The sequence below is a fragment of the Homo sapiens genome, chromosome 10 (genome assembly GCF_000001405.40).
Source record: "Homo sapiens chromosome 10, GRCh38.p14 Primary Assembly".
Lineage (NCBI taxonomy): Eukaryota > Metazoa > Chordata > Mammalia > Primates > Hominidae > Homo > Homo sapiens.
The window spans coordinates 28,423,624-28,449,735 of record NC_000010.11 but is presented as its reverse complement, the minus strand read 5'-3'; the positions used below and the strand labels follow the sequence as shown (position 1 = coordinate 28,449,735).

Sequence of the window (26,112 nt, the reverse complement as noted above, 5' to 3'; positions counted from 1 at the left end):
GGTGAAATACTAACATTATCCCTTCCCCACTATGACTGGCTTCCAAATTGAGATTTTTTTCAGAGATAAAATGACTCCATATGTTAAATTGGTCTGTGTTTTTACATCTATCTGGTCCTATTGGGAGGAGAGAGGAAAGATGCTCTCTGATAAAAAGATCTGAAATGGAAAGGAGGTGAGAATGTTGAACTTGGACAATAAGACAATGAGTGTCCACTATAAAGCACGGACCAAAGGCAGCTTGGGGTAATTGAAAAAGGACCCATTGTTAAAGTAGACAATAAATTATCCATACTCCAGCTCTGCCATTTCCTTGCTGTGTGGTGTTTGGGAACATGATTTAACCTCTTTGAGTATGTTTTCACATTTAGAGAAGCAGAAAAATCGTGCCCACCGTTTCGGATTGTTGGAAACATTAAATGTTGGGAAGATTAAACACTCACGCAGTTGGAGTGATTAGGGTTCTTTGGGAGCTGGGACCGTGTGCTAGGACAGAAAGGTTGGCCTGTGGTTTGGGGTGTGGATCAAGGGAAATGCCTGCATCATGGGTCAGAGCAGATTGGGAGACAAAGGAAAGCTAAAGCATCGAGGCCACTGCATGGAATTGGCCTTCTTGCCTCTTTGTACCTTCCTCTTATTTCCTCTTCCTCTTAATCGACATTTATTTATTTATTTATACTTAATTGTTTTGAACCGGAGTCTCCCTCTGTCACCCAGGCTGAGGTGCGGTGGTGCCATCTGGGCTTACTGCAACCTCTGCCTCCCGGGTTCAAGTGATTCTCCTGTCTCAGCCTCTCTAGTAGCTGGGATTACGGGTGGGCACCACCACGCCTGGCTAATTTTTGTATTTTTAGTAGAGTCGGGATTTCACCATGTTGGCCAGGCTGGTCTTGAACTCCTGACCTCAAGCGATCCACCTGCCTCAGCCTCCCAAAGTGCTGGGATTACAGGCGTGAGCCACCGTGCCCGGGCAATTGACTTCTTTTTAAATAGTTAATTTTTTTTCTTGTAAGCATTCTTGCTATAAAATGCATGCTTACTGTGTAAGAAATTTGAAAAATATACAGACTAGTATGCAAAAAAGAAAGATAGAGAATTACTAAATGCTGAGGACACATGACCTTTTCCAGAACATTAAGTATTGGGAGTAGTATCATTGGGTCAAAAGGTCGTAACAATTTTTTTCTATTTTTTTAGAGACAGGGTCTGGCTTTATTGCTCAGGCTGGAGTGCAGTGACAGAATCATGGCTCACTGCAGCCTCCAACTCCCAGGTTCAAGTGATCCTCCTGCCTCAGCCTCCCGAATAGCTGGGACTACAGGCACACACCACCACATTAGGCTAATTTCTAAATTTTTTGTAGAGATAGTGTCTTGCTATGTTGCCAATGCTGGTCTTGAGCTCTGGGCTCAACTGATTATCCTGGCTCAGCCTCCTAAAGTACTAGGATCAACATTTTTAATGCCTAAAGTACTAGGTTTTAACATTTTTAATGCCCACGTGCCCACTTACAAATTGCTTCTAGGGTGTTTGCAGCAATTTATGCTCCCATCAGCACGGGCTGGGTGCACTTATGTACAGGGACATTTCTAGGTCTTCATAAGCTGAGACAATCTTTTGGAAGCCTTAGCCCATCTCATATATTAGAGTGAGGTGGTGCTTGCCATTATCTGCACTTGTTTTTTTTTTTTTTTCTTACTATGCAGATTTCTGGAGAATCATTGTGTATGCTTGAGAATCCTTGCAAAGCAAAAAGATCTACAAAAATTGCATTTAAGATAATGTGATTATTCTGAATCCTAAATTTAGCAATTAAGAAGTTCAGGGCCAGGTGCAGTGGCTCATGCCTGTAATCCCAGCACTTTGGGAGGACGAGGCGGGCAGATCACTTGAGCTCAGGAGTTCGAGACCAGCCTGGCCAACATGGTGAAACCCCGTCTCTACTAACAACAACAACAAAATACAAAAATTAGCCGGGCATGGTGGCACGCACTCATAGTCTCAGCTATTTGGAGGCTGAGGCAGGAGAAACATTTGAACCCAGGAAGCAGAGGTTGCAAGTAGCCGAGATCGCACCACTGCATTCCAGCCTGTGTGACAGAGAAACTCCATTTCAAAAAAGAAAGAAAGAAATTCGGGATGTTATGGTTTTCAACATTTATTAATTTTTAATATTATTGTCATATCTTTGATTTTTTGTCCTATCTCTAGCAATAAAGAAACGGGATGTTATGGTTTTCAATATTTATTAATTTTAATTTAATTGTCGTATCTTGTAGCCAATATATTTTTTTCAGATTTCAACATATTTGCAGTCTCTGAAAAAAAATTTCATCAGCCTTGAACCCTGAATTAGAGTGGCTGATCGATAAAATGTCACCTCCTATGTCATCTTTTCTAATTGACCAGCAAAATGACATTATTCTTTCTTTTTTCTTGTTTTTGTTTTGTTTTGTGTTGTTTTGTTTTTTTGAGACAGAGTCTTACTGTCACCCAGGCTGGAGTTCGGTGGCATTATTTCAGCTCACTGCAGCCTCCACCTCCTGGGTTTAAGCAATTCTTGTGCCTCAGTCTCCCAAGTAGCTGGGATTACAGGTGTGCACCACTGCACCCAGCTAATTTATGTATTTTTAGTAGAGATGGGGTTTTGCCATGTTGGTCAGGCTGGTCTTGAACTCCTGGCCTCAAGCAATTCTCCTGCCTTGGCCTCCCAAAGTGCTGGGATTACCGACGTGAGCCATGGTGCCCAGCCTTTCTTTTGTATTTTGAACCGTATGATCTATTTCTGGATATTTATTGGGTATTTTTTATGGAAAGTCCTGTACTCAAGGAAACTGAGTCTAGTAAGAGAGAACATATGTCTGATGATGATTACCAGAAACAGGTGTAAAGAATTCAGCTGTGGGAAATCCAGAGAATTCAGAAAGCAACTATGGGAATTCAGAGAACAAAGAGATTATTTCTGTCTCTAGTTGTCAGGGACATCTGGATGAGGCATTCTTGTTTGAGCTAGGCCTTGAGGCAAGGGTAGAATTTTAACAGGGAGAGGGATGGAATGGGTTAACTCATGATATGCAAGATACATAAATTAAAAGATATTTTATCTAGGCTGGGTGCGGTGGCTTGCACCTATAATCCCAGCACTTTGGGAGGCTGAAGCAGGAGGACTGCTTGAAGCCAGGAGTTCAAGACCAGCCTTGGCAACATAGTGAGACCTCATCCCTTAAAAAAAAGATATTTTTATCTTGTAAAATATAAGAAAAATACATGTATATGGCTGGGCACAGTGACTCATGCCTGTAATCTCAGTACTTTGGGAGGCCGAGGCTGATGGATCACTTGAGATCAGGAGTTCAAGACCAGCCTGGCCAACATGGTGAAATCCTGTCTCTACTAAAGAAAAAAAAAAGTTACCAGGGCGTGGTGCTGCACACCAGTACACCTGTAGTCCCAGCTACTGGGGAGGCTGAGCCAGGAGAATCACTTGAACCCAGAAGGTAGAGGTTGCAGTGAGCCGAGATTGCACCACTGCACTCCAGCCTGGGTGACAGAGTGAGACTCTGTCTCAAAAAAAATTAGTCAAGTGTGGGGGTGCATGCCTGTAATCTCAGCTACTCGGGAGGCTGAGGCAGGAGAATTGCATGAACCCAAGTGGCAGAGGTTGCAGCAAGCCGAGATCATGCCACTGCACTCCAGCCTGGGCGACACAGCAAGACTCCATCTTAGAAAAAAAAAAGGAAAGAAAAATACATGTATATGAACCATCCAAGGATCTTGTTAAAATGCAGGTTCTGATGCAGTAGGTTTTGGCCGTGCCGTTTCTAAGAAGCTCTCATGTGATGCTGATATGACTGGTCAGGCATTTCAGGTTGGTGGAACAACAGGAACAAAGGCAGAGGTGGGAAAACATCAGAGGAGCTGCCATGCGGAGAGAAACAAGAACAGTGCAGTCAACCAGAGTGTGGTCGCTAGATGGTGAAGCCGTGGGAATGAACTGCCATGGCAGATCGGATCCAAACTGCAGAATGTTTTGAATGTCGAGTTTCAAAATGTGAACTTTATACCACAAACAATAGGGAAGCATGGAAAACCATTGAGCAAGTGAATGACATGATCAGAATGTGTGTTAGTGACATTAATCTGGCCATGGTATGCAGGAGCCAGGGAGACCAGTGCGGAAGCTAACTCTAACAGTCCAAGTGGGAGGTATTAAGGGCTTAAGTTAGAGAGATGCCTGCAAAGTCGGAAAGGAAAAAAAAATTCTTTTATGTAGCAAATGGATGCTCAAAACTGTAAATCGGATAAATAAGTGAATCAGTGAATAAAGTAAAAGGCTTAGCAAAGAAAGAGTGAACAGGACATAATGGTCAACAGGTGACTTTACTTTTTTTTTTTGAGACAGAGTTTCAGTCTTGTTGCCCAGCCTGGAGTGCAATGGCGCGATCTTGGCTCACTACAACCTCCGCCCCCTGGGTTCAAGCGATTCTCCTGCCTCAGCCTCCTGAGTAGCTGGGATTACAGACATGCGCCACAACGCCTGGCTAATTTTTGTATTTTTAGTAGAGACGGGGTTTCTCCATGTTGGTCAGGCTGGTCTTGAACTCCTGACTTCAGGTGATCCGCCCGCCTTGACTTCCCAAAGTCCTGGGATTACAGGCGTGAGACACTGCGCCTGGCTGACTTTACTTTTTATATATGGGAGAATGATGACACCACTAACAGAAAACTGAGGAAGAGCTGCTTGTTTTTTGGCAAAACATAACAGCAATACTTACTGAATACTCACTGTGTGCTATTTATAGTTTTGAGTGCTTTTAATACCTTGTCTCATTTATTTATTTATTTCATTATTATTATTTTTTGAGACAGAGTTTTGCTCTTGTTGCCCAGGCTGGAGTGCAATGGCGCGATCTCTCCTCACTGCAGCCTTTGCCTCCCGGGTGCAAGCGATTCTCCTGCCTCAGCCTCCCAAGTAGCTGGGACTACTTGCCGTACACCACCACACCCGGCTAATTTTTTTGTATTTTTAGTAGAGACGGGGTTTTGCCATGTTGGCCAGGCTGGTCTTGAACTCCTGGCCCCAGGTGATCTGCCCACTTTGGCCTCCCAAAGTTCTGGGCATGAGCCACCGGCCCCTTGTCTCATTTAATCTTTATCACAATCCTGTGAGAAGGTACCATTTATTTGCCCCATCTTAAGAAAAGAAACTGAAAAAAAGAGAGGTTAGGTAACCTGGGCAAGGTCACACAGCTAGTAAGGGCTGGAGCCAACACTGGAAGCAGCGAGTGCAGGTCCAGAATGCAACTCTTAATTGCTGACCTAAGTCTCATAATGTATTAGATACTTTTTGCGGTAGTTCCCTCACCCATTCTCCTTCTGGGGCAGGGGCCATCCGGATCCCATGCCCCTGGCCACAGCTAAGTATCTAGGGGAGGAGACTTGTCAGGATAGGCCACCCACTGGCTGGCCTGACACCTAAAATCTGGTGCCCTGGTGGGAAAAGTGAATTGGGCCAATCCATTTCCTCTTCTGAAAACCTGGAATGCGGAAACACTGATTTTGGAAGATAAGGGAAGAGAAAAGAAGCCCTTGTCCCTGCCCTGCCTGAGAACATTTTTTTTTTTTTTGTGCTCCTGTGATCAGTGGCCTTTCATTAAGTCCTTCTTTTCCCAAAATACCTTAGTCTCTGTTCTTTGTACCCAAATGATCCTGATTTCATCTCATTTATTTCCTTATAAGAATTTATCCAGATTCTAGGCTGGACGCAGTGGCTCACACCTGTAACCTCAGCACCTTGGGGGGTCAAGGAAGGAGAATCACTTGAGGCCAGAAGTTCAAGATCAGCCTGGACAACATAGCAAGACCTCATCTCTTAAAAATAAATAAATAAATAAATAAATAAATAATTAGCCAGGTATGGTGGCGTGCCTGTGGTTTCAGCTACTCAGAAGGCTGAGGCAGAGGGATCACTTGAGCCCTCCAGGAATTCAAGGCTGCAGTAAGCCATGATTGTGCCACTGCACTCCAGCCTGGGTGATAGAGTAAGGCCCTGTCTCTTAAAAAAATTTTTATCCAGAATCATTGAAAGATGAATAAAATACTTAGGTATTGCTGGGTAAACGCTAACCCTCCAGTTTCTCCTCTTTCTGCTAAAAAATACATAGACATTTGTGAAGTAATGTGCGTTTACAGCATTCACAAGTGAAAGCTTGGAAGTCAAACTTCAGCCTACACTAGCAAGAGAGAATGTTTGGGTGAAAAATGTATTTCTGGCAAAGAGTGCCCACTGTCCTCCATCTGCAGGTTCTTCTTTCTTTCAAAAAAGCCATTCTCCCTGCTGTAGCAGGATTAAGGGCAGAGATATGGGTGAAAGTCTTGCATTGAGAGCTGTAGGCAACTCAATGTGAGACACACACAGGCCTTACCAAACAACAGGCTTTTTTTTTTTTTTTTTGAGACAAGGTCTCACTGTGTCACCCAGGTTAGTTGGAGTACAGTGGCAAGATCATGGCTCCCTGTCCCCTCAAAATTCTGGGCTCAAGTGATCTTCCTGTCTTAGCCTCCCAAGTAGCTGGGACTACAAGCATGCACCATCATACCTAGATTAAAAAAAAATTTTTTTTTTGTAGAGGTGGGGTCTTGCTATGTTGCCCAGGCTAGTCTGGAACTCCTGAGCTCAAGTGATCCTCCCTCCTTGGCCTCACAGAGTATTGGGATTATAGGTGTGAGCCACCACACTGGGGCAAACAACAGGCAGTTTTCACTCTATTCTGGAAGAGACACCTCCTCAACTTTTGTGCTATTAAGAGTGAAGACACCTAAAGCCAAAGAAGAATGCTGGATGGAAGGGTGATGTGGCTGCAACGCTGATCACCCCATTGATGGCCAGGGTAGATTCTGCCCATCTGGGTAGCATCCTATCCAAGTCACTGCTGCACATGCCTCCTTCCTTGAACGGCCCACTGGCGGAGCAGGCTGCCTTCCCAGACAGAGGAGCACATTTCTTCAGTCCAGGGTGCGTAAGTGTCTGTGCCTCTTGCTAGAACATTCTAGTAAACTCTAGAGGCAACTGTGTGGAAGAGTGTAGTAAGGAAAGCTTCCAAGATTCCAGACAGAACCAAAGCAGATGCAGGAGCAGCCTGCCTGTCAAAAAGATAATTTATGTTCACTCACTACTTAAAACTTGAGTTCTGGAAATTGGCAAGAGAGAGATTAAAGTTGTCTGTAATTAGCTGTTACTACTTTCTACAGAGTGTTTATTGAGAGTGGAAAATCCTTTGGCCTTGTGGCCTCCTGGAAAACCCCAATTCAGTTTTCAAGCTTAACTCCAATGAGAATCTTCTCTGACCTTCTCAGGCACTTGTTTTTCCTCCCTGGAGCTCCCGCTCAGCCTGGCACATGGTTTAGTAGAACAATTTTCATTCTTCCATGATGATTGAACATTGAGATGTGTTTTTGGATCCCTCAAGGTCTGGCACTGTGTTTTACTTTTGTGCCCAGTGCTTGGGAAAGGAGGGAGGAGCGATGACTTAAATTGTAGTTCATAGATCACTGGACTGCAAAGGTCTCTTTCCAAACCTGAGGATGAGAACTGTGAATCAGAGCAAGGTTCTGGAGTATGAGCTGCAGGCAGTAGAGGAATGGGTGTGTTCTCTGCTGTAGGAAGAAAGCTGCAAACAAGAACAGATGCTCCTCCACTTATGATGGGGCTACATCCCAATAAACCCACTGTGAGTGGAAAACATCGCAAGTTGAAAATGCATCGAATAGAACTAATCTACTGAAATCATAGCTCAGCCTAGCCTACCTTAAACATGCTCAGAGCACTTATGTTTGTCCGCAGTTGGACAAAATCATCTAACGCAAAGCTGATTTTATATGAAAGTGTTAAATATCTTATGTAATTTATTGAGTACTGTATGGAAAATGAACAACAGAATGGCTGTGTGAATACCTGAAGTACTGTTTCTACTGAATTCATGTTGCTTTTGCACCATCATAAAGTCAAAAAATAATTAGTTGAAAAATTATAAGTAAGGACTGTCTGCATTTGGTGCCAAAAGAGTAGAAGGTGGCAGAAATAGAAATAGAAATAGTACTTACCAAAATTCACATTCTCTTCTTCCTGGGCACAGAGTCATATCACATTTCCCAGCCTACCTGGCAATGAGGTATGGCCGTGGGAGTGACTCCTGCCAATAGGATATGGTGGAAGTCCCACGAGGATCTCACATGAGGATCCTCCAGGCATTTCCCTCTTCTGCTGGCTGGATGCCAGTGTCTAGAGAGACCAAAATCAGAGCTGCTCCCCATCACTTTCCCCACCCAACAGGGAGCACAGGTTTGAACTCTTAAGCAAGTAAGAAATAACCTTGTGTTGTATGGGGGGTTAATTGTTACAGCAGCTGGCAATCCCTAGCTCATGCAGAGCGTTTGGCTGTTTTTCACCTGAGGCAGTGGTAGCCCAGACTCATCTCTTACCTGAAGCATTCTTGGGGTTCTTCAAGTTATAATGAGAGAGAAGACCCTTGAAGAGGAGAAAAAAATTACTCGACTGGCAAGATGAGGTTTCAGAGAAGCTTGATTTGACTATTAAGAGATATTTGATGGCCAGGCACAATGGCTCATGCCTGTAATCCCAGCACTTTGGGAGGCCGAGGTGGATAGATCACTTGAGGTCAGGAGTTCGAGACCAGCCTGGCCAACATAGTGAAACCCCATCTCTACTAAAAATACAAAAATTAGCCAGGCATACTGGTGCGCGCCTGTTATCCCATCTACTCAGGAGACTGAGGCAGGAGAATCGCTTGAACCCGGGAGGCGGAGGTTGCAGTGAGCCAAGATTGTGCCACTGCCCTCCAGCCTGGGTGACAGAGTGAGAGACTCTGTCTCAAAAAAACAAAACAAAACAAAAAACCAAAAAACAAGAGATATTTGACTTCATCTTGTACTTGAAGCTGGTGAAATGGGATGTAGCTCAGTTAACATGAGCCTTATGGTTAATATTAAACATTTATTTCTTCATTTCCTCCACTGATTCATTATTTTAATATTAGAGAAGGTTACTTAATAACATAAGAAAATACTCAAAACAAGCTGTTAAGCGAAAAAGCCTACTAGAAAATAGTAGATTCAGCATAATCCCACTTTTAAAAAGCAAGCCAAGAACCTAAAAATATATTCACATACACATTGACCTAGGAAGGTGACATCAAACTATCAAGTGGTCATTTGTAAGTAGTAATAATAAGTGTGATTTTTTATTTGTCTTTATTCTATTCAATGTTTTTCAGCCTCTTCCCAGTACACATGCATCACTTAGAGATTAACAACAGCAAAAGCAATAGAAGTTATTTTTAAGTAAAATATAGAGAAAAATGTTGTCTTGCAATTAAAAAAAAAAAGATCCAGTCTCTTCACTCATTATTACTGGGAGTTCTCGGTCAAACTCATATCCCAAGCAGAGACTTGGGGATCCACCAGTACTTCAATAATCCTAAAGTGGCAAGCAACAATCCTTGTTTCTGTTGAATGAGCAATCTTGTTTCTTTTTTTTTTTTTTTTTGAGACGGAGTCTAGCTCTGTCACCCAGGGTGGAGTGCAGTGGTGCTATCTCGGCTCACTGCAAGTTCTGCTTCCCGGGTTCACGCCATTCTCCTGCCTCAGCCTCTCGAGTAGCTGGGACTACAGGCGCCCGCCACCATGCCCAGCTAATTTTTGTATTTTTAGTAGAGACGGGGTTTCACCGTGGTCTCGATCTCCTGACCTCGTGATCCGCCCGCCTCAGCCTCCCAAAGTGCTGGGATTACAGGCGTGAGCCACCGCGCCTGGCCACAATCTTGTTTCTTTTGCTTTTGTTGAATTATGCTGGGTGTTTAATCTAGAACTTGAAAAATAGGAAGATCAGGCTAGGCATAGTGGCTTATACCTGTAATCCCAGCACTTTAGGAGGCTGAGGTGGGGTGGGAGGATCATTTGAACCCAGGAGTTGGAGACCAGCCTGGGCAACATAGTAAGATGGAGACCTCATCTCTACAAAAAGTAAAAATAAATAAAAATTGGCTGCGAGTGGTAGCACGTGCCTGTGGTTCCAGCTACTTCGTAGGCTGAGGTGGGAGGATCGCTTGAGCCTGGGAGGTCAAGGCTGCAGTGAGCCGAGATCGTGCCACTGCACTCCAGCCTAGATGACAGAGTGAGACTCTGTCTCAAAGAAAAGCAAGCAAGCAAGCAAGCAAGAAAGAAAGAAAGAAAGAAAAGTAGGGTAGGGGCCTGGCATGCTTGCTCACACCTATAATTCCAAGACTTTGGGAGGCCTAGGAGTTCACTTGAGCTCAGGAGCTTAAGGCCAGCCTGGGCGACGTGGTGAAACCCCTTCTCTACCAAAAATACAAAAAAAATCTGGGCGTGGTGGTACACACCAGTAGTCCCAACTACTTGGGAGGCCGAATTGGGAGAATTGCTTGAGCCTGGGAGTTGGAGGTTGCAGTGAGCTGAGATCATGCCACTGCGCTCCAGCCTGGATGACAGAGTGAGATCCCATCTCAAGGAAAAAAAAAAAAAAGGTAAGAGAAAGTAGGAAGATCTCACAGAGAGTTTTGCATTGTTAAAGTCTCTTAAAGACTTTATTGCTTTCCAACAAGCATGTCTCTATACTCTTATTAAATTTGGGAAATATATCAGTTTTCTTGGCTAAACTCAGGCAAATCTAGCCGTGGGAGTATTCCAGTGCTGTCAGCATCAGAAGAGTTCTTTTCTTCTCCTTTGATTTACTTGTTTATTTATTTAAGAGACCGAGTCTTGCTCTGTCACCCAGGCTGGACTGCAGTGGCACGATCATAGCTAGCAGTCTCCAACTCCTGGGCTCAAGTGATCCTCCCACTTCAGCCTCCATAGTAGATGGAACTACAGACATGTGCTACCAAGCCCAGCTAATTTTTTTTTAAGAAACAGAGTCTCACTATGTTGCCCAGTCTCGTGTCTCCTGGGCTCAAGTGATCCTCCCACTTCAGCCTCCATAGTAGATGGAACTACAGACATGTGCTACCAAGCCCAGCTAATTTTTTTTTAAGAAACAGAGTCTCACTATGTTGCCCAGTCTCGTGTCTCCTGGGCTCAAGTGATCCTCCTGCTTTGGCCTCCCAAAGTGCTGAGATTACCTGCATGAACCACCACATTCGGTCTTTCTTCTGCTTTTATTATCACATCCTAGCTAAGAGTGTGATGAATCTTCATTTCGTGAGATGAACAGAATTCCACCAGCAGGTTAAAAATACTTCACATTCTAAAGAAATGGAAGGCTGACCAAAGCGAAGGTTTCAGGAACATCAGGCACCACTCAGGCAACTGAGATTTCAGCACCCCTCCCGCCTCTTCTTTTGGCTATCTCTGGTCATCCTGTAACATAAATGCTCTTTTTACTGGAACAGAATAAATGTGGTCTTTATATTAGGGAAATCCACATGTTTGGAAAACTTCACAGCTTGTTGTTTGAACGCTAAACACAAATCGAGGAAAAGGCAATGAAATTAGAGCAACATTTGTATACCAGACTTCATTGCTCTCTAAATTCTAAGCATTTACTATGAAAAGATCCGGATGGAGATGATACAGACATGAGAAATATAAATACATGTTTGGAGGAAGTGTGGATTATTGGAAAGGATGTAGACTTTGGAGCTTGACAGACACAGAGTCAAGCTCCAGCTCTGTCACTTACAAGTGGCACGACCTGAAGCTAGTTTTTAACTTCTCCAAATCTGTTCTTTCAGTGGGAATATGAGGATTATAGCACCTATTTGCAGGGTTGTTGGGAGAATTAAGGAACAAAAGGTACGAAAAGCACTGCACACAGTACCTGGTACACAGTGGATGCCCATTCATCATGTTGACTCGGGTGCTAAGGCAAAAGAAAACCAGATTGGAGTGAAAATCGGAAAATGTTGAGTGAAAATAAACTTTTTTTTTGAGATTGAGTCTCATTCTGTTGCCCAGGCCGGAGTGCAGTGGTGCAATCTCTGCTCACTGCAACCTCTGCCTCTTGGGTTCAAGCGATTCTCCTGCCTCAGCCTCCGGAGTAGCTGGGATTACAGGCATGTGCCACCACGCCCAGCTAATTTCTGTATTTTTAGTAGCGATGGGGTTTTGTCATGTTACCCAGGCTGGCCTTGAACTCCTGAGCTCAAGCAATCCGCCTACCTCAGCTTCCCAAGGTGCTGGGATTACAGGCGTGAGCCACTGCACCTGGCTAAAAAAAAATTTTTTTTTTAAATTAGCTGTGCGTGGTAGCACATGCCTGTAGTCCCAGCTATTTGGGAAGCTGAGGCAGGAGAATCACTTGAGCCGAGGAGTTTGAGGCTGCAATGAGCTATGATCGTGCCACTGCACCCCAGCCTGGGCAATGGAATGAGACCCTTTCTGTACAAAAAATTTAAGAAGTCTTTATATAAGGTATTTATGCTTGTAATGAGTTAAAAATACATATTCTTGCATGTGGTAAAAAGTGAACATGCTTCTCTTCTTCTCTATCAATCTCTCTTCCCAGGGGAAACCACCTCTTCTGTTTTTTGTGTGTTTTTTAAAATTTTTTTTAGGAACTGATGTTTATTTTCCATCAACGTTGTTTCCATGTTGCTTAATAGCCGGTACAAGAGCAGCTTAAGACCATTCAGTGGTTGCCCCTACCCATTCAGTGGCTTGAGCAGTGAGAGCTGCAGACCAGTCTTCCACGGCAGGCTGAGCGCTCCAGTCTTCAGTAGGGAACAGCTGAATAGGCACAGAGGGCACCCGCACGCCGTCAGACCAGTCTGCAACCTCAGGCTGAGTAGCAGTCAACTCAGGAGCTGGAGCAGTCTGTTCACCCTGAAATTCCTGCTTGGTCACAGGCTTTTCAGCAGCAGCCTGCTCTTCTTTTTCAGTCTCTTCAGGATCCCTGTAGAAGTAGAGATCAGGCATGACCTCCCACGGGTGTTCGTGGGAAATGGTACCACACATGTGCAGAACTTCCCGGGGCAGCAACTGCATCAAACCCACTGAGCGAGCTTCCGTGTTGTTGCATGGGATGGCAATGTTCACACAGCGCAGAGGAGAAGCTGTGTGACACAGAGCAATGGTGGGAAAGTTAACATAAGATGCCTCTGTGAGAGGCTGTTGGTCAACCCTGGGGACAGTAACCACAAGAAGCCGTGGCTCCCGGAAGGCTCCCTGGATCTGGTTAGTAAAGTTTCCAGGAGTGAAGTGGCCAGCAATTGCTCTGACTCCAGTGGCAGCAGCAAACTTCAGCACAGTCCTCTGGCCAGTATTCCTGGAGGTTATGACGCTGACATCAGCAGGGTTTTCAGTGGCAACAATGGCGTGAGCTGCAGCAGAAGCTTCTCCCAGGTCCTTTCAGATTTAGGATGTAGATGCCATCACTTTTCCTTTCGTAGATGTACTGTTCCATTTGGAAGTCAAGGTTGGTGCTACCTAAGTGGATTTCTGCTGCATAACTTAAGGACATCCTCCTCCTTCATTTGCAGGACATCAAGGGCTCCAGACATTGAGAAATTTTCCCTTTAAGTTGCGATGGGAATCCAGAAAACGCCATATGGACCCCTCTGTGAGTAGCATGGAAAGAGGAAACCACTTATTTATTTATTTATTTTTAAAGAGTCTCACCTTGTTGCCCAGGCTGGAGTGGAGTGATGGATCTGCAACTTCCATCTCCCGGATTCAAGTGATTCTCCTGCCTTGGCCTCCCGAGTAGCTGGGATTACAGGCACCTGTCATCACGCCTGGCTAATTTTTGTATTTTTAGTAAAGACAGAGTCTCACCATGTTGGGCAGGCTGGTCTGGAGCTCCTGACGTCAAATGATCCACCCGCCTTGGCCTCCCAAAGTGTTGGGATTATAGACGTGAGCCATCACACCCAGCTGGAAACCACTTCTAATAATGTAACAGGTTATATATTGACACATAGACAGTTTTTATGAGATTATACTATCTCTCTACATTTTTTTCTTTTTATTGAGATGGAATCTCACTCTGTCACCCTGGCTGAAGTGCAGTGACATGATTTCAGCTCACTGCAACCTCTGCCTCCCGAGTTCAAGCGATTCTTGTGCCTTAGCCTCCAGAGTAGCTGGGATTACAGGCGCGTGCCACCATGCCCAGCTAATTTTTCTATTTTTAGTAGAGATGGGGTTTCACTATGTTGCCTAGGCTGGTCTCCAACTCCTGACCTGAAGTGATCTGCCCATCTCAGCCTCCCAAAGTGCTGGGATTACAGGCATGAGCCACTACGCCCGACCTATTTACACATATTTTTTAAACTGCTTTTTAAATCTTAACATTATACCATGGACATCTTTTCACATAGTAAATACAAATTTTCCTCATGTTTCCAACAGTACAGTAAGAGGCACAGTAGAACCTAGGAATTAAGAGCATGGACTACAAAAAAAAAAAAAAGTTATAGGCCGGGCATGGTGGCTCACGTCTGTAATCCCAGCACTTTGGGAGGCCGAGGCGGGTGGATCACCTGAAGTCAGGAATTCGAGGCCAGCCTGGCCAACATGGTGAAACCCCGTCTCTACTAAAAATACAAAAAAAAAAAAAAAAAAAATTAGCCGAGTGTGGTGGCAGGCGCCTGTAATCCCAGTTAATCTGGAGGCTGAGGCAGGAGAATTGCTTGAACCTGGGAGGTGGAGGTTGCAGTTAGCTGAGATCACACCATTGCACTCCAGCCTGGGGGACAAAAGCGAGACTGTGTCTCAAAAAAAAAAAAAAAAAAAAAAAAGCATGGACACTACTCGGGTTGGATACTAACTTGTGCCCCTTAGGTTGTGTGTGAACTTGGACAAATGACTTCCCCTCTCTGCGTCTTAATTTCTCTATGCATAAAATGTGTTCTGATAAAATGCTTGTAGTGGCATATGAAAAATGCTCAATATCAGTAATCCTCAAAGAAATGCAAATTAAAATCACAGTGAGATATCATCTTATACCAATCAGATTGGCTAGTATTAAGAAGTAAGACGATAACAGATGTTGTTGAGGATATAAAGAAAAAGGAATGCTTATACACTGTTGGGGGGAATGTAAATTAGTACAACTTTTATGAAAAACAGTATGGAGATTTCTCAAAGAACTAAAAATAGAACTATCATTTGATCCAGCAACCCCACTACTGGGTATCTACCCAAAGGAAAGAAATCATTATAGCAAAAAGATACCTGCATTCGTATGTTTATCCCAGCACTATTCAAAATAGCAAAGATATGGAATCAACCTAAGTATCCACCAATGGCTGACTCGATAAGGAAAATGTGGTGTATATATACAATGAAATACTATTCAGTCATAAAAAAGAATAAAATGTTTTTTGCAGCAACATGGATGGAACTGGAGGCCATTATCTTAAGGGAAACAACTCAGAAAGTCAAATACCGCATGTTCTCACTTATAAGTGGGAGATGAGTCATGTGTACACATAGACATAGAGTGTGCAATGGTAAACACGGGGGACTGGGAAAAGTGGGAGGGTGGAGGAGGGTGGGTGATGAGAAGTTACTTGGGTCCAGTCCACAGTCTTTAGGTGATGGATGCACTAAAAACCCAGACCTCACCACTGTGTAATATATCCATGTAATAAAACTACACTTGTACCCCTGAAATGTATACAAATAGGCCGGGTGTAGTGGCTCATGCCTGAAATCCCAGCATTTTGGGAGGCTGAGGTGGGCCGATCACCTGAGGTCAGGAGTTTGAGACCAGCCTGGCCAACATGGTGAAACCCTGTCTCTGCTAAAAAATACAAAAATTTTTTGTGCACCAGGCATGGTGGTGCATGCCTGTGGTCCCAGCTACTGGGGAGGCTGAGGTAGGAGAATCGCTTGAACCTGGGAGGCGAAGGTTGCAGGTGAGCTGAGATCACACCCCTGCACTCCAGTCTGGGTGACAGAGCAAGACTCTGTCTCAAAAAAAAAAAAAAAAAAAAAGAGTATACAAATAAAAGAAAAGGAAAAAAATGCTTGTTGTGGGGATGAAATAATTAATGCGGATAAAGCCTCTAGAATAGTGCTAGGGCATGTAACAAGCCATAACGATTCTGTCTATCCTTAGTGAAGTTTTAAGTTCTTTTTAAACTTTATTACAAACAATGCTACAATGAAGGTTTTATCACATCTTTTTGAACACTTTACTAGTGTTTTTACAGGACAGAAGTCAGAATGAGGGATCATGTAGGATGTTCACACAAAATTAGAATGGACATTGCCTAACTGCCTTCCAAAGTTGTACCCATTTACCCTCCAGCCAAGAGTGTACAAAATGGTTCATATTCCCAGACTTTTGCCCAAACTGGATTCTATCATTTTGAAAAAAGTCTGCCCATCTAATAACAACTGATCTTTGACACATTGAATTACAGTATAAAGAGGGCTTTACCCAAATGGCCCACAAGGCTACCTAACTGGGCAGAGGCCATACATACGTATTTTAAAATTGCAATAGAAAATTCTTTATTCAACATCGAGGCTTATAAAATTCTTATCTTTTCCTCCATAAGGCTTCTATGTGTCTTTATTCTGAACTAAGGGTATATGAAAATAAATTTTCCTTTCCTTGATTTCCTTCCTTTTAAATTCTGCAGATGCTGTGAAATACTTCAGTACTCAGGAGAAGTCACGTTCTGGTTGCTGCAAGCGTGTGATACCCTGTCATTAAAATAAGAAATAGATTGTTATCCTCTGCCCTCCTCTGTGCATATATATATGTGTGTATGTGTGTGTGTGTGTGTGTGTGTGTGTGTATAGATAGATTTTTTTCTTTTTTTTGAGACAGAGTCTCACTCTGTCATCCAGGCTGGAGTGCAGTGGTGCGATCATGGCTCACTGCAGCCTTAATCTCCTGGACTCAAGTGATCCTCCCACCACAGCCCCCCAGTAGCTGGGATTACAGGCACATGCCACCACACCTGGGGTAATAATTACACATATGATTATATATATATATATATATGTATTTTTTTTTTTTGTAGAGACTGGGTCTAGGTATGTTGCCCAGGCTGGTCTTGAACTCCTCAGTGCAAGGGATCCTCCCACCTCAGCCTCCCAAAATGCTAAGATTGCAGGTGTGAGCCACCAGGCCCCACCCTTTGTGCATTTTCTGAGACCTATCTTTCCAAAACTGGTCTCTAGGAGATGAGCAGGCAGGTTGTAAAGGATTTAGTCTCTATCACAGACCCAAATCGGAGAGAAACAACTTGGAAACGCCAGGGTTAAATCAAATTAGTGTTCAAGGCCATATTTCCGCTTTTTCATGTTCCTGAGTTCGGAATCCACATTTGGCCGCTGGGCAGTGGGAATTAAGGAAGTTCTCTGGGCTGCCCTGTCGGCTCCAGGGGTTTTATCTGCCATCTTGTTCGCCCTCTACTGGTGTTTCAAGAGAAGAACATGAATGGGAAGAATGGCTTTCTCTGACCCTGGGAGATTTTTTCTTGCTTATTTTCGTTCTGGGAAATCAAAATTCCAGTTGAATTCCGTAACTATAAAAATGTTAAGAGAAGACATGTGGGTTTCAATGGAATAGACTAATTTGAATTACCATAGGTTTTCGGAGATGGGGTATGGAGATAGGAAAAAACTCTGGCTTTACTTCTTTTTATATATGTCTTACTGTTTAGTTCTTCAACTATGCATTTTCTGGTATGTATAATGGTCCTAAATCATAAATTTAAAGAATAGAATGCATGTGAATCTATATCAATATCTATCTCTGTCTACATGAGCTATCTACATCTATTCATATAGCTGTATATATTCTGGAACCTTGCCAATCTGGGGAACTCAGAGCTGAAAGCATCCTAAGAGACTGAAAAAGAACACAGGGGTTGACACCTTCCACTTATAACCAGACCCCTCAATCCAACAAAATATAATCGAATGTTTTCAGAGCCCTAAAAGGCTTTTTTTTTTTTTTTAACTTGAGATGGAATCTTGCTCTGTCGCCCAGGCTGGAGTGCAGTGGTGTGCTCTTGGCTCACTGCAACCTCTGTCTCCCAGGTTCAAATGATCAAGCAATTCTCATGCCTCAGCCTCCCGAGTAGCTGGGATTACAGGCACGCAACACCATGCCTGGCTAATTTTTGTATTTGTAGTAGAGATAGAGTTTTGCCATGTTGGCCAGGCTGGTCTTGAACTCCTGACCTCAGGGGATCTGCCCTCCTCAGCCTCCCAAGGGATTACAGGCATGAGCCACTGCGCCCAGCCAAAAGGCTTTCTTTAATTTACAAGTTCTGTATAAGATCTATTCTAGGAAATTCTCAAAGCTTCTAGGCATTATAATGATAAAGATTCATTGAAGAGCCCATTATTTCAAGAGTTCTGGTTTGCATGTGAAGTGCATGCAAGACAGCAAACCCCACACAGGGAGGTGACGTCACACAGGGAGGTGAGGGCCCCAGTCACCAGCCTCCATTCTGAGCAGGTGGTGGTGTTTTTCTTAGTCTGGCATTCTTTACATCCCTCTGGTCAAAATAATTGGCAGATGAGCCAAACCTGGCCGCTTCTTCGCTGGGATTTTACGTTAATGCTGGAAGAGAGAAGCTGTCTGTTTTCTCTAGGGTAACACCTCTGGGTTATAAAGGTCTAAACCTGTCTGTGATACTCATCTATTCCCACCGACTTTATGGTGGACACCCAGGAGAGTGGACATGCAGAGAAGTAGACACAACTGAAATGTGTTTTGAGGTAGAATCTGCTGGAGGATTGAATTAGAGGCAAGAGACATGCAAAAGGTAAGAGTCAAGAATAACTTCTAGATTTCTAAATGAGGTCCTGGATGAATGTGTTGCTATTTCTTAATATGGGGGAGAACCAGGAGTGGGATGGGAGATGAAACCAAAGCTTGGCAGTGACAATTGGGAGTTCTGTTTTGGACATATGGACTTTGAGATGCTGTGAGATAGCCGAGTGGAAATGTCAAGTACGTAGTTATATATGTGACTTTTGAGAAAGGGAAAAAGATTTGAGCTGGACGTATTAATTTAGAAGCTGTGACATAAACTGTATGTAAAGATATTGGAGTGGATGAGAATATTTAGGTATAGAAGATATTAAAAAGAGGGCCCAGGACCAAGTTTTGAGGAGAATCAAATTTTGCTGATTGAGTAGAGAAGGAGAACTTAACACAGGAGATGCTGGTAAGGTGGGGAAAAGTAGAATGGGAATAGGTTGCCACAGAATTGGAGAGAAGAGGGTGTCAAAAAGGGGAGAGTGGTCAACTCAGTCAAAAGCTGATGAGAATTAGAGAAAGTTGAGGTCAGAGACACATTCATTGGGCGTGGCAATATACACAGCATTGGTGAAGTTGACAACAGCATTTTCGGTAGAGTAATGGGCATGAAAAGTAGTTTTGAGGCAGGGAGAATAGGGTCTGGAGGCAGGGAACCTAAGGCCGATTCACGCTGACTTCCTAGAACTAAATCAAAAGGAAAACCCCACCTTTCCACACCCAAGTAACAAAAGGACAGGAGGCTACTTTGTTTGCAACCGCCTGCCCCTTTTTCTGCCTGGCAGATGGAAAATTGAAAGTACCTCTGATTGGTTGCTTTCCTCAACCAATAAGACGTTTGCATAGGAGTGTAACTTTGTAACTTCACTTCAGCCTCTGAGCCTCTGATTGGTTGCTTTCTACAACCAATCAGACTGATTGTAGGCCAACTCTTCCTTTGCATAGAAGTGTAACTTTGTAAGTTTACTTTAGCCTCTGATTGGTTGCTTTTCACAGCCAATCAGATGTTTGCATAGGGTGTAACCTTTGTGACTTCACTTCAGCCTCTGTTGGTTGCAGCAGCCAATCAGACTGATTGCAGGCTACTACTTCATTTGCATGGGGGGGTACACCAAGTGGCCAATGGGAAACCTCTAGAGGGTATTTAAACCCCCAGAAAAAATTCTGTAACAAGGCTCTTGAGCCACTATGCTTGGCCTGCTCCCACCCTGTGGAGTGTACTTTCGTTTTCAATAGATCTCTGCTTTCATTGCTTCATTCTTCCCTTGCTTTGTTTGTGTGCTTTGCCCAATTGTTTGTTCAAAATGCCAAGAACCTGGACACCCTCCACTGGTAACAGTTTGAAGAAGGTTAAAAAGGAATGGTGGTGACCAGCAGTGCAGATGGCATTGTGGGTTCAAGGGAAACTGATGACCACCCCCCCACACACACATGCACGCACACACAGAGTACAAATAAGTAGTGCAATCAACAGAGTATTTAAAAAATATTTTAGAGACTGTCATTGTGTCCTCTGGTGTAAAAATTCATTCCATATGTCTTTGACTCCTAAACAATCAGAGCCCAAAATCATGAAGACTACAACATAAATATTGAGGGGTCCTTAGGTATAAAAGTGGAGGAGCTACTCTCACTTCCACTCCTTGCTTCCCCATTCATATACAGTTTATTCAAATTATTCATGGTAGTTACATCCTATAAAGTTTCTTCTAATGCTGAATTGGCAAATAATGAACTGTTGCTCCAAGAGGAAAGACTAGGTTATGTTCCTGTGAGCCTCTGGTCATAAAATTTTTGCCAAACAAAATGCCACCCTAGGCATTATATAGGTTTGTTTGCCAATGTCCTTGTAAAACAAGCCAGTCTCATCAGCATTGAAAGCCTACTCTTGTACATAACCCTTTCCTGTATAACAGTTGGCAGATATTTAAAAAAATTCATCTGCAGCCTCCTGATCTGCAGAACCTGCCTCACATGCAAGTTTAATGTTTCTCAAGCTCTGTTGCCTTTTGAAATGTGAAAGCCAGCCAGCACTAGCTCAGAAGAGTTTCACATTTTCATACCCCTGGGTGTGATGGTTAATTTTATGTGTCAACTTGACTGGGCCTTGGGGTGCCCAGATATTTGGTTAAGCATTATTTCTGGGAGTGTATGCGAGGGTCTCTCTGGATGAGATTAACGTTTGAAACAGTAGACTGAGTAAAGCAGATTGTCCTATCTAATCAGTCAAAAGCCCGAATAGAATAAAAAGCTGAGTAAGAAGGAACTGTCTATCTCTGCCTCACTGTCTTCAAGCTTGATCATTGGTAGTCTCTTGCCCTTGGGCTTGGACTAGAATTTAAGCCATTAAATTTTTTAAAAAGAGCTTAGGTCATTGCTAATTCCTTATAATAAATTACTCTCTCTCCATATATATATTTATATATGTATATATACACTATATATGCTATATATGAGATACATATATTATGTATATGCTACATTATATATATATAGCAAGGATATATATATATATATATATATATATATATATATATATATATATCTTATTGGTTCTGTTTTTCTAGAGAACCCTAATCCACTAGGTAATGTGTCTATAAATTTATTACTGGAGCGGCCTGACTTATAGGTCAGTGCATTTCTTTCTCCTTTTCCTGGATGTATTGTGTTGTTGATTCATTCACATTGAACTCACAGCCAACAGCACTATAACTTATGCCTGAATGAAGCTTATCTAACACATACATTTTCTCCATAAGGCACATCACAGTCTTCCTGTTTTTAGGAATACTAGACAGCACTTTAGCATTATGCTTAGGGGCCATTTCAAACAGCAGAATCACCAACAAAAAGCATAGAAAGTGGGAAATATGGCACTAAATAGACACTGAAAATAATGCTTATTTATAGTATGGGATCTGAAACAAGAAACATTGCCTTGTTCAGCCTGAGCTGGCAACATGCAGAGGGCAACTGACATTTCTTGCCACCTCTGCACATGTCCTCAAATAACCATGAAAGTGCCATTGGTATTGATTTTAGGGTTATAAATAAATTTTAGCAAGTAGGCAAATTTGCAAGCACAGAAGTTATGAATGATGAGGATTGACTATATGTTGGTTTTGGAAAAACCAATACCATATATTGATGATCAGTTCAGAGTCTATACCAAAATTCTATAGCAGGGCTGCAACATGACATGTCTTTCCAGCTGGTGCTAGCATGTTATTTAGACCCGTCTGTAATCCAGGTTCAAATTTTTCTCATCAGCTAACAGGATATAATAAACTCCCTGTGAGGCCTTACGTCTTTTGAGATTGATTGAAGTAGCAGTGGACAGGAATAGCCCGGTTGGGAAGATAAGTCACCTGTTTATGCAATTCGTTTGTGTCTTCAGGACCTGCTCAGTCCGGATTAGGTGTCTGACACTTCCACTTGATAATGGACTGCTTCTGGGCATCTCAACTGTATAGAGAAGTGAATCAGAAAACAACCATTTTGTCATGGCCAGCTCAATCACATTGTCCCCTCATGTCCCATAGCCAGGCACTCAATTTCTACCAGGGTTCAGTAGCAAGCCAAGAGCTGTTTCCCAAAATGGAAATTGTTACTAATGCAATACAGCATAGCCTTGCTTTAAAATCCTATTCTCCAGTCAAGGTTAGCTTCAGCCTCCATACAGACTTATCTTGCTCTGGGCCCTACTCAAAGGTGGCAAAAGAAAATATTTTAGTTTACTTAGTATATGAGCTGTAGAAAGAGACCTAAAATGCAATATGGGTAGCTTCCAAAATCCACAACATTCCATCAAGTATTGTGCTTCTTTCTTTTTTAAATTTAAATTTAAATTTTTTTGAGACAGGGTCTCACTCTGTTGCCCAGGATGGAGTGCAGCAGTGTGATTATAGCTCACTGCAGCCTCAAACTACTGGGCTCAAGTAATCCTCCCCCTTCAGCCTCCCCAGTAGTTAGGACTACAGGCATATTACCACACCCAGATAATTTTTTAATTTTTTTTGTAGAGATGGGGTCTTGCTATGTTGCCCAGGCTGCTCTCAAACTTCTGGCCTCAAGCAATCCTCCTGCCTTGGCCTCCCAAAGCACTAGGACTTCAGCTATGAGCCACCACACCTGGCCTTGAGCTTCTTTTGTAAGGGTAGGAGGTCCATATTTTCATGAGATTTTCCTCCCATACTTTAGCAGGCATATATCTTGGTTGGGCATCCAAGGAACTTCCTAATTCCAGTCCACCCATATAAATGTCATCAAAATAGTGAATAACCAGGATGTATAGTTGGTAGGAATATCAAGTTTTCAAAAAATTCCCTTGGGTAAGGCAAGGGAGGAAAGGAGACTGATCATGAAGGTGTCCTGCTGTCCTTTCCAGGCAAAAGCACAGTGTTTCTGGTTTTCTCTGTTTATTGATTGGAGAAGGGGAAGCATTTTCTAAATTCATAGCAGCACATACCACATACCTGTGCCTGTGCTGCCTTGCTACCATAAGGAAATCATATCCAGAAAAGCAGCTGTAATTAAAGTCAGTTATTAATTAGGCTTGGGTTAATCCACTGTCTTTTTCCAAGATAAGTTTCTCTTCTGCAAAGACTCTACAACTGAGTGTAATGGGGGATATCATAGGTATAACCATGTCTTTATTGTTCAAAACTTTGAAGGAGACACCAATTACTACAATTCTTCAGGAATGTGTTATTGCTTTTTGTTTACTCTCTCTGTAGGGAGGAAGAACTCAAAGGGCTTCCACTTGGCCCTTACCACCATAACTATCCTTTTTCTACAGGTCAGAAGACAATGTGAGGATTTAGCCAGTTGATGAAGGCAAGAAGAAAGGAGATTAGTTATTAGCTGTGTCTGTCTCTTTTATTCAGAAAGCAAAAACTCACCCAGACACTTCACATGAAGTTTTCACTTCATGTCTAATTGACAAAATCTTGCCACTGACTCTAGTGGCAGAGGAAACTAGAAAATTAAGTATGAATTTAACATTTCCAGTCTTGATAGTAGAGAACAAAGGAGAAAGCTTTGGGGAATGAAATGTGGGTTTACCACAACTCCTTATAAGCCAGGGCCTTATCATAGCTTTGATACCCTGACCTTTGCTATCTCTTATCCCAGGGATCTGTTATTTTCTGGCTGCCACATGCATTCCAGCTCTATGTGGCACTGCCATCAGAGAGCTTAGGGTTTTGTGGGGAATACAAGCAGTGCTGTAGGGAAAGGTTTTGCTGTTAACTTGCATTTTCTATTCTTTTGCTTTACCATCCCCCAGCCACCAATAAAAAAGCAGCAATGCCTTCCTATGATGCATTGTCCCCAGGGGAAGGGTGGATACAGCCTAGCAAAAAGCAATCATTATTTAGCTTTGAGCTTCAAAATATGATTTTGTTTTTAGAGACAGGGTCTCACTCTGTCAACCAGGCTGGAATACAGTGATGCAATCATAGCTTGCTTCAGCTTCGAACTCCTGGGTTCAAGCAATCCTCCCACTTCAGCCTCCTGAGTAGCTAGGACTACGGGCGTGCACCATCACACATGGCTGAATTTTTTTTTTTTTTGTAGAGATGAGATCTCACTATATTGTCCAGACTGATCTTCAATTCCTGGCCTCAAACGATCCCCTCAAAGTGCTGAGATTACAAGCGTGACCCACTTAGCCCAGCCTCAAAATATGATTTTTGAACTCCTTAGCTACCGTATCAGTCTGAAAGCTGAACACGTTTGATTTTTGATTGAGAGATAATACGCATGCCTTAGAAAAATCAAAGATTCAGAGCCTAGAAGATGGGAACACAGATTTTATTAACAATCAACTCTAATGTGGGTAAAAAATAGCAGTTCTTCCTGAGCTGAATGGAATAAACTTGTTGGATTAAACAAGTTGAGAGTAAGTTAGGTGCCCAAGAAGCACCCTCCCACCCTCCAGAGAAACGCGCCTGGGCTTTGCATTCCAGGGGGTTGGCAAGCCTGTAGGAGAGACCCACATGAACCATGGTTCGAGGCATTGTCCAGGTAGATGGACCTGACTGCAGTGCTGTAGAGTTCTGCACCCTGCACAATGATGTGAAACAACAGGTCAGAGTTCCCGAGCCCAGGGAGAAACTAGAGGCATAAATGCTCAGAGGAAGGGTATAAGGGTGGGAAGGGAGCAGCCTGGATGAAGGTGAAGAACGAGTGGACCCAGTGATTTCACCAGAGGCCATGTCACGGGCCTTGGATATCAGCAAGTGATGACAGCCCTCAATACCTAAAACCAGGTGGTATGTCCCTTCCTCTTCAGAGGCCAGAAAGACTTGGAGAAAGACTCATGGTCCAGATACTCCATTCTTTAATGTCAAGATGTTACCAAAGTCACCCAGAAACTTAGATTATGTGCAGAAAGAAGTCAGCTGAAAGGAAAACTGACAGGATCTTAAAATTGCCTGCATATTTACTCAAAAGAGACTGTTTCACTCCAGAAGGGATTCCTAGGTGGCCAGAATATGTGTTTTCTGTCATGTATGGCTACGTGGCTCAACAGTTAGTTGAGTTTTACTACAGAAAATAAAGAAAGCTACCTTTCCTACACATCCAATTTGTGGCTATCAATTTCATACCACCTTCACCGGGGAAATTGATAATTATAATGCAATGTGATATGTGGTAAATAAATCATTTGAAAGCAGTAGGAACTGAGAAAGGAAGCATCTCTCTCCTCAGGAAAAAATAAAATAATTCAAATAGGAAATTATATTTGAGATGAGTTTTGAAGGGTGAGAAAGTACTTGCTAAACAGACAAGTGAGGGAAAATTGTTCAAGCAAAGAAAACAGCCTGAAGACACAGGGCCACAAAAGGGTAAGGTGTGTTTTGGGAAATGGCAAGAAGTCAGGGTGGGTAGAACTTGAGTTTTGCAGGGCAGAGTAGAGGAGGCCAGGGCCAGGCGTGGGGGTGTGCACCTGTAGTCCTACCCCCTCGGAAGGCTGAGACAGGAAGATCTCTTGAGCCCAGGAGTTCAGGGCTGCAGTGAGCTATGATCATGCCACTGCACTCCAGACTGGGTGACAGAGCAAGACCCTATACCTGCAAACACTAGCCAGGCATGGTGGTGCACGCCTGTAGTCCCAGCTACTTGGGAGGTGGGGGCGAGAGGATCGCTTGAGCCCCAAAGTTGGAGGCTGTGGTGAGCTAATGGCACCATTGCACTCCAGCCTGGGCAACAGAGTGAGACCTTGTCTCTAAGTAAAAAAAAGAAGCAATAAGAAAAATAATCAAAGTGTACATTGGATTTGGTTACAAGAAGATCATTAGTAACTCTACCAAAAGCATATTTTTAGGAGTGGTGGGGGC

General features: G+C 43.2%; 2 long non-coding RNA genes and 2 pseudogenes across 2 annotated transcripts in view, besides 2 other annotated features; 2 read left to right on the top strand and 2 right to left on the bottom strand.

Moving 5' to 3' along the window:
* The window catches only part of LINC02652 (long intergenic non-protein coding RNA 2652), a 62,806-nt gene extending 46,078 nt beyond the window's left edge, over positions 1-16,728 (top strand). Inside the window, exons 2-3 of the long non-coding RNA NR_134496.1 lie at positions 13,515-13,594; positions 16,629-16,728. This is a non-coding gene — a long non-coding RNA (long intergenic non-protein coding RNA 2652). The remainder of the gene's footprint in view (positions 1-13,514; positions 13,595-16,628) is intronic.
* Positions 4,727-4,947: a silencer, noted in NCBI's record as "fragment chr10:28733718-28733938 (GRCh37/hg19 assembly coordinates)". NCBI's record gives its function as "represses an EF-1alpha promoter that drives an FKBP-Casp9 reporter gene in an ReSE screen in K562 erythroleukemia cells {active_cell/tissue: K562}" and the evidence as "EXISTENCE:reporter gene assay evidence [ECO:0000049][PMID:32094911]".
* Positions 6,840-7,161, top strand: RN7SKP39 (RN7SK pseudogene 39; annotated as a pseudogene).
* Positions 7,363-8,574, bottom strand: LOC107984216 (uncharacterized). Its single transcript, XR_001747401.2, has 3 exons — positions 8,482-8,574; positions 8,104-8,281; positions 7,363-7,578 (listed from the first exon to the last, which is right to left on the bottom strand). It is a non-coding gene; the product is annotated as an uncharacterized LOC107984216 (long non-coding RNA).
* RPSAP10 (ribosomal protein SA pseudogene 10) lies at positions 12,585-13,610 on the bottom strand (annotated as a pseudogene).
* Positions 17,320-17,429: an enhancer, noted in NCBI's record as "active region_3192". NCBI's record gives its function as "activates an Ori minimal core promoter by ATAC-STARR-seq in GM12878 lymphoblastoid cells {active_cell/tissue: GM12878}" and the evidence as "EXISTENCE:reporter gene assay evidence [ECO:0000049][PMID:35858748]".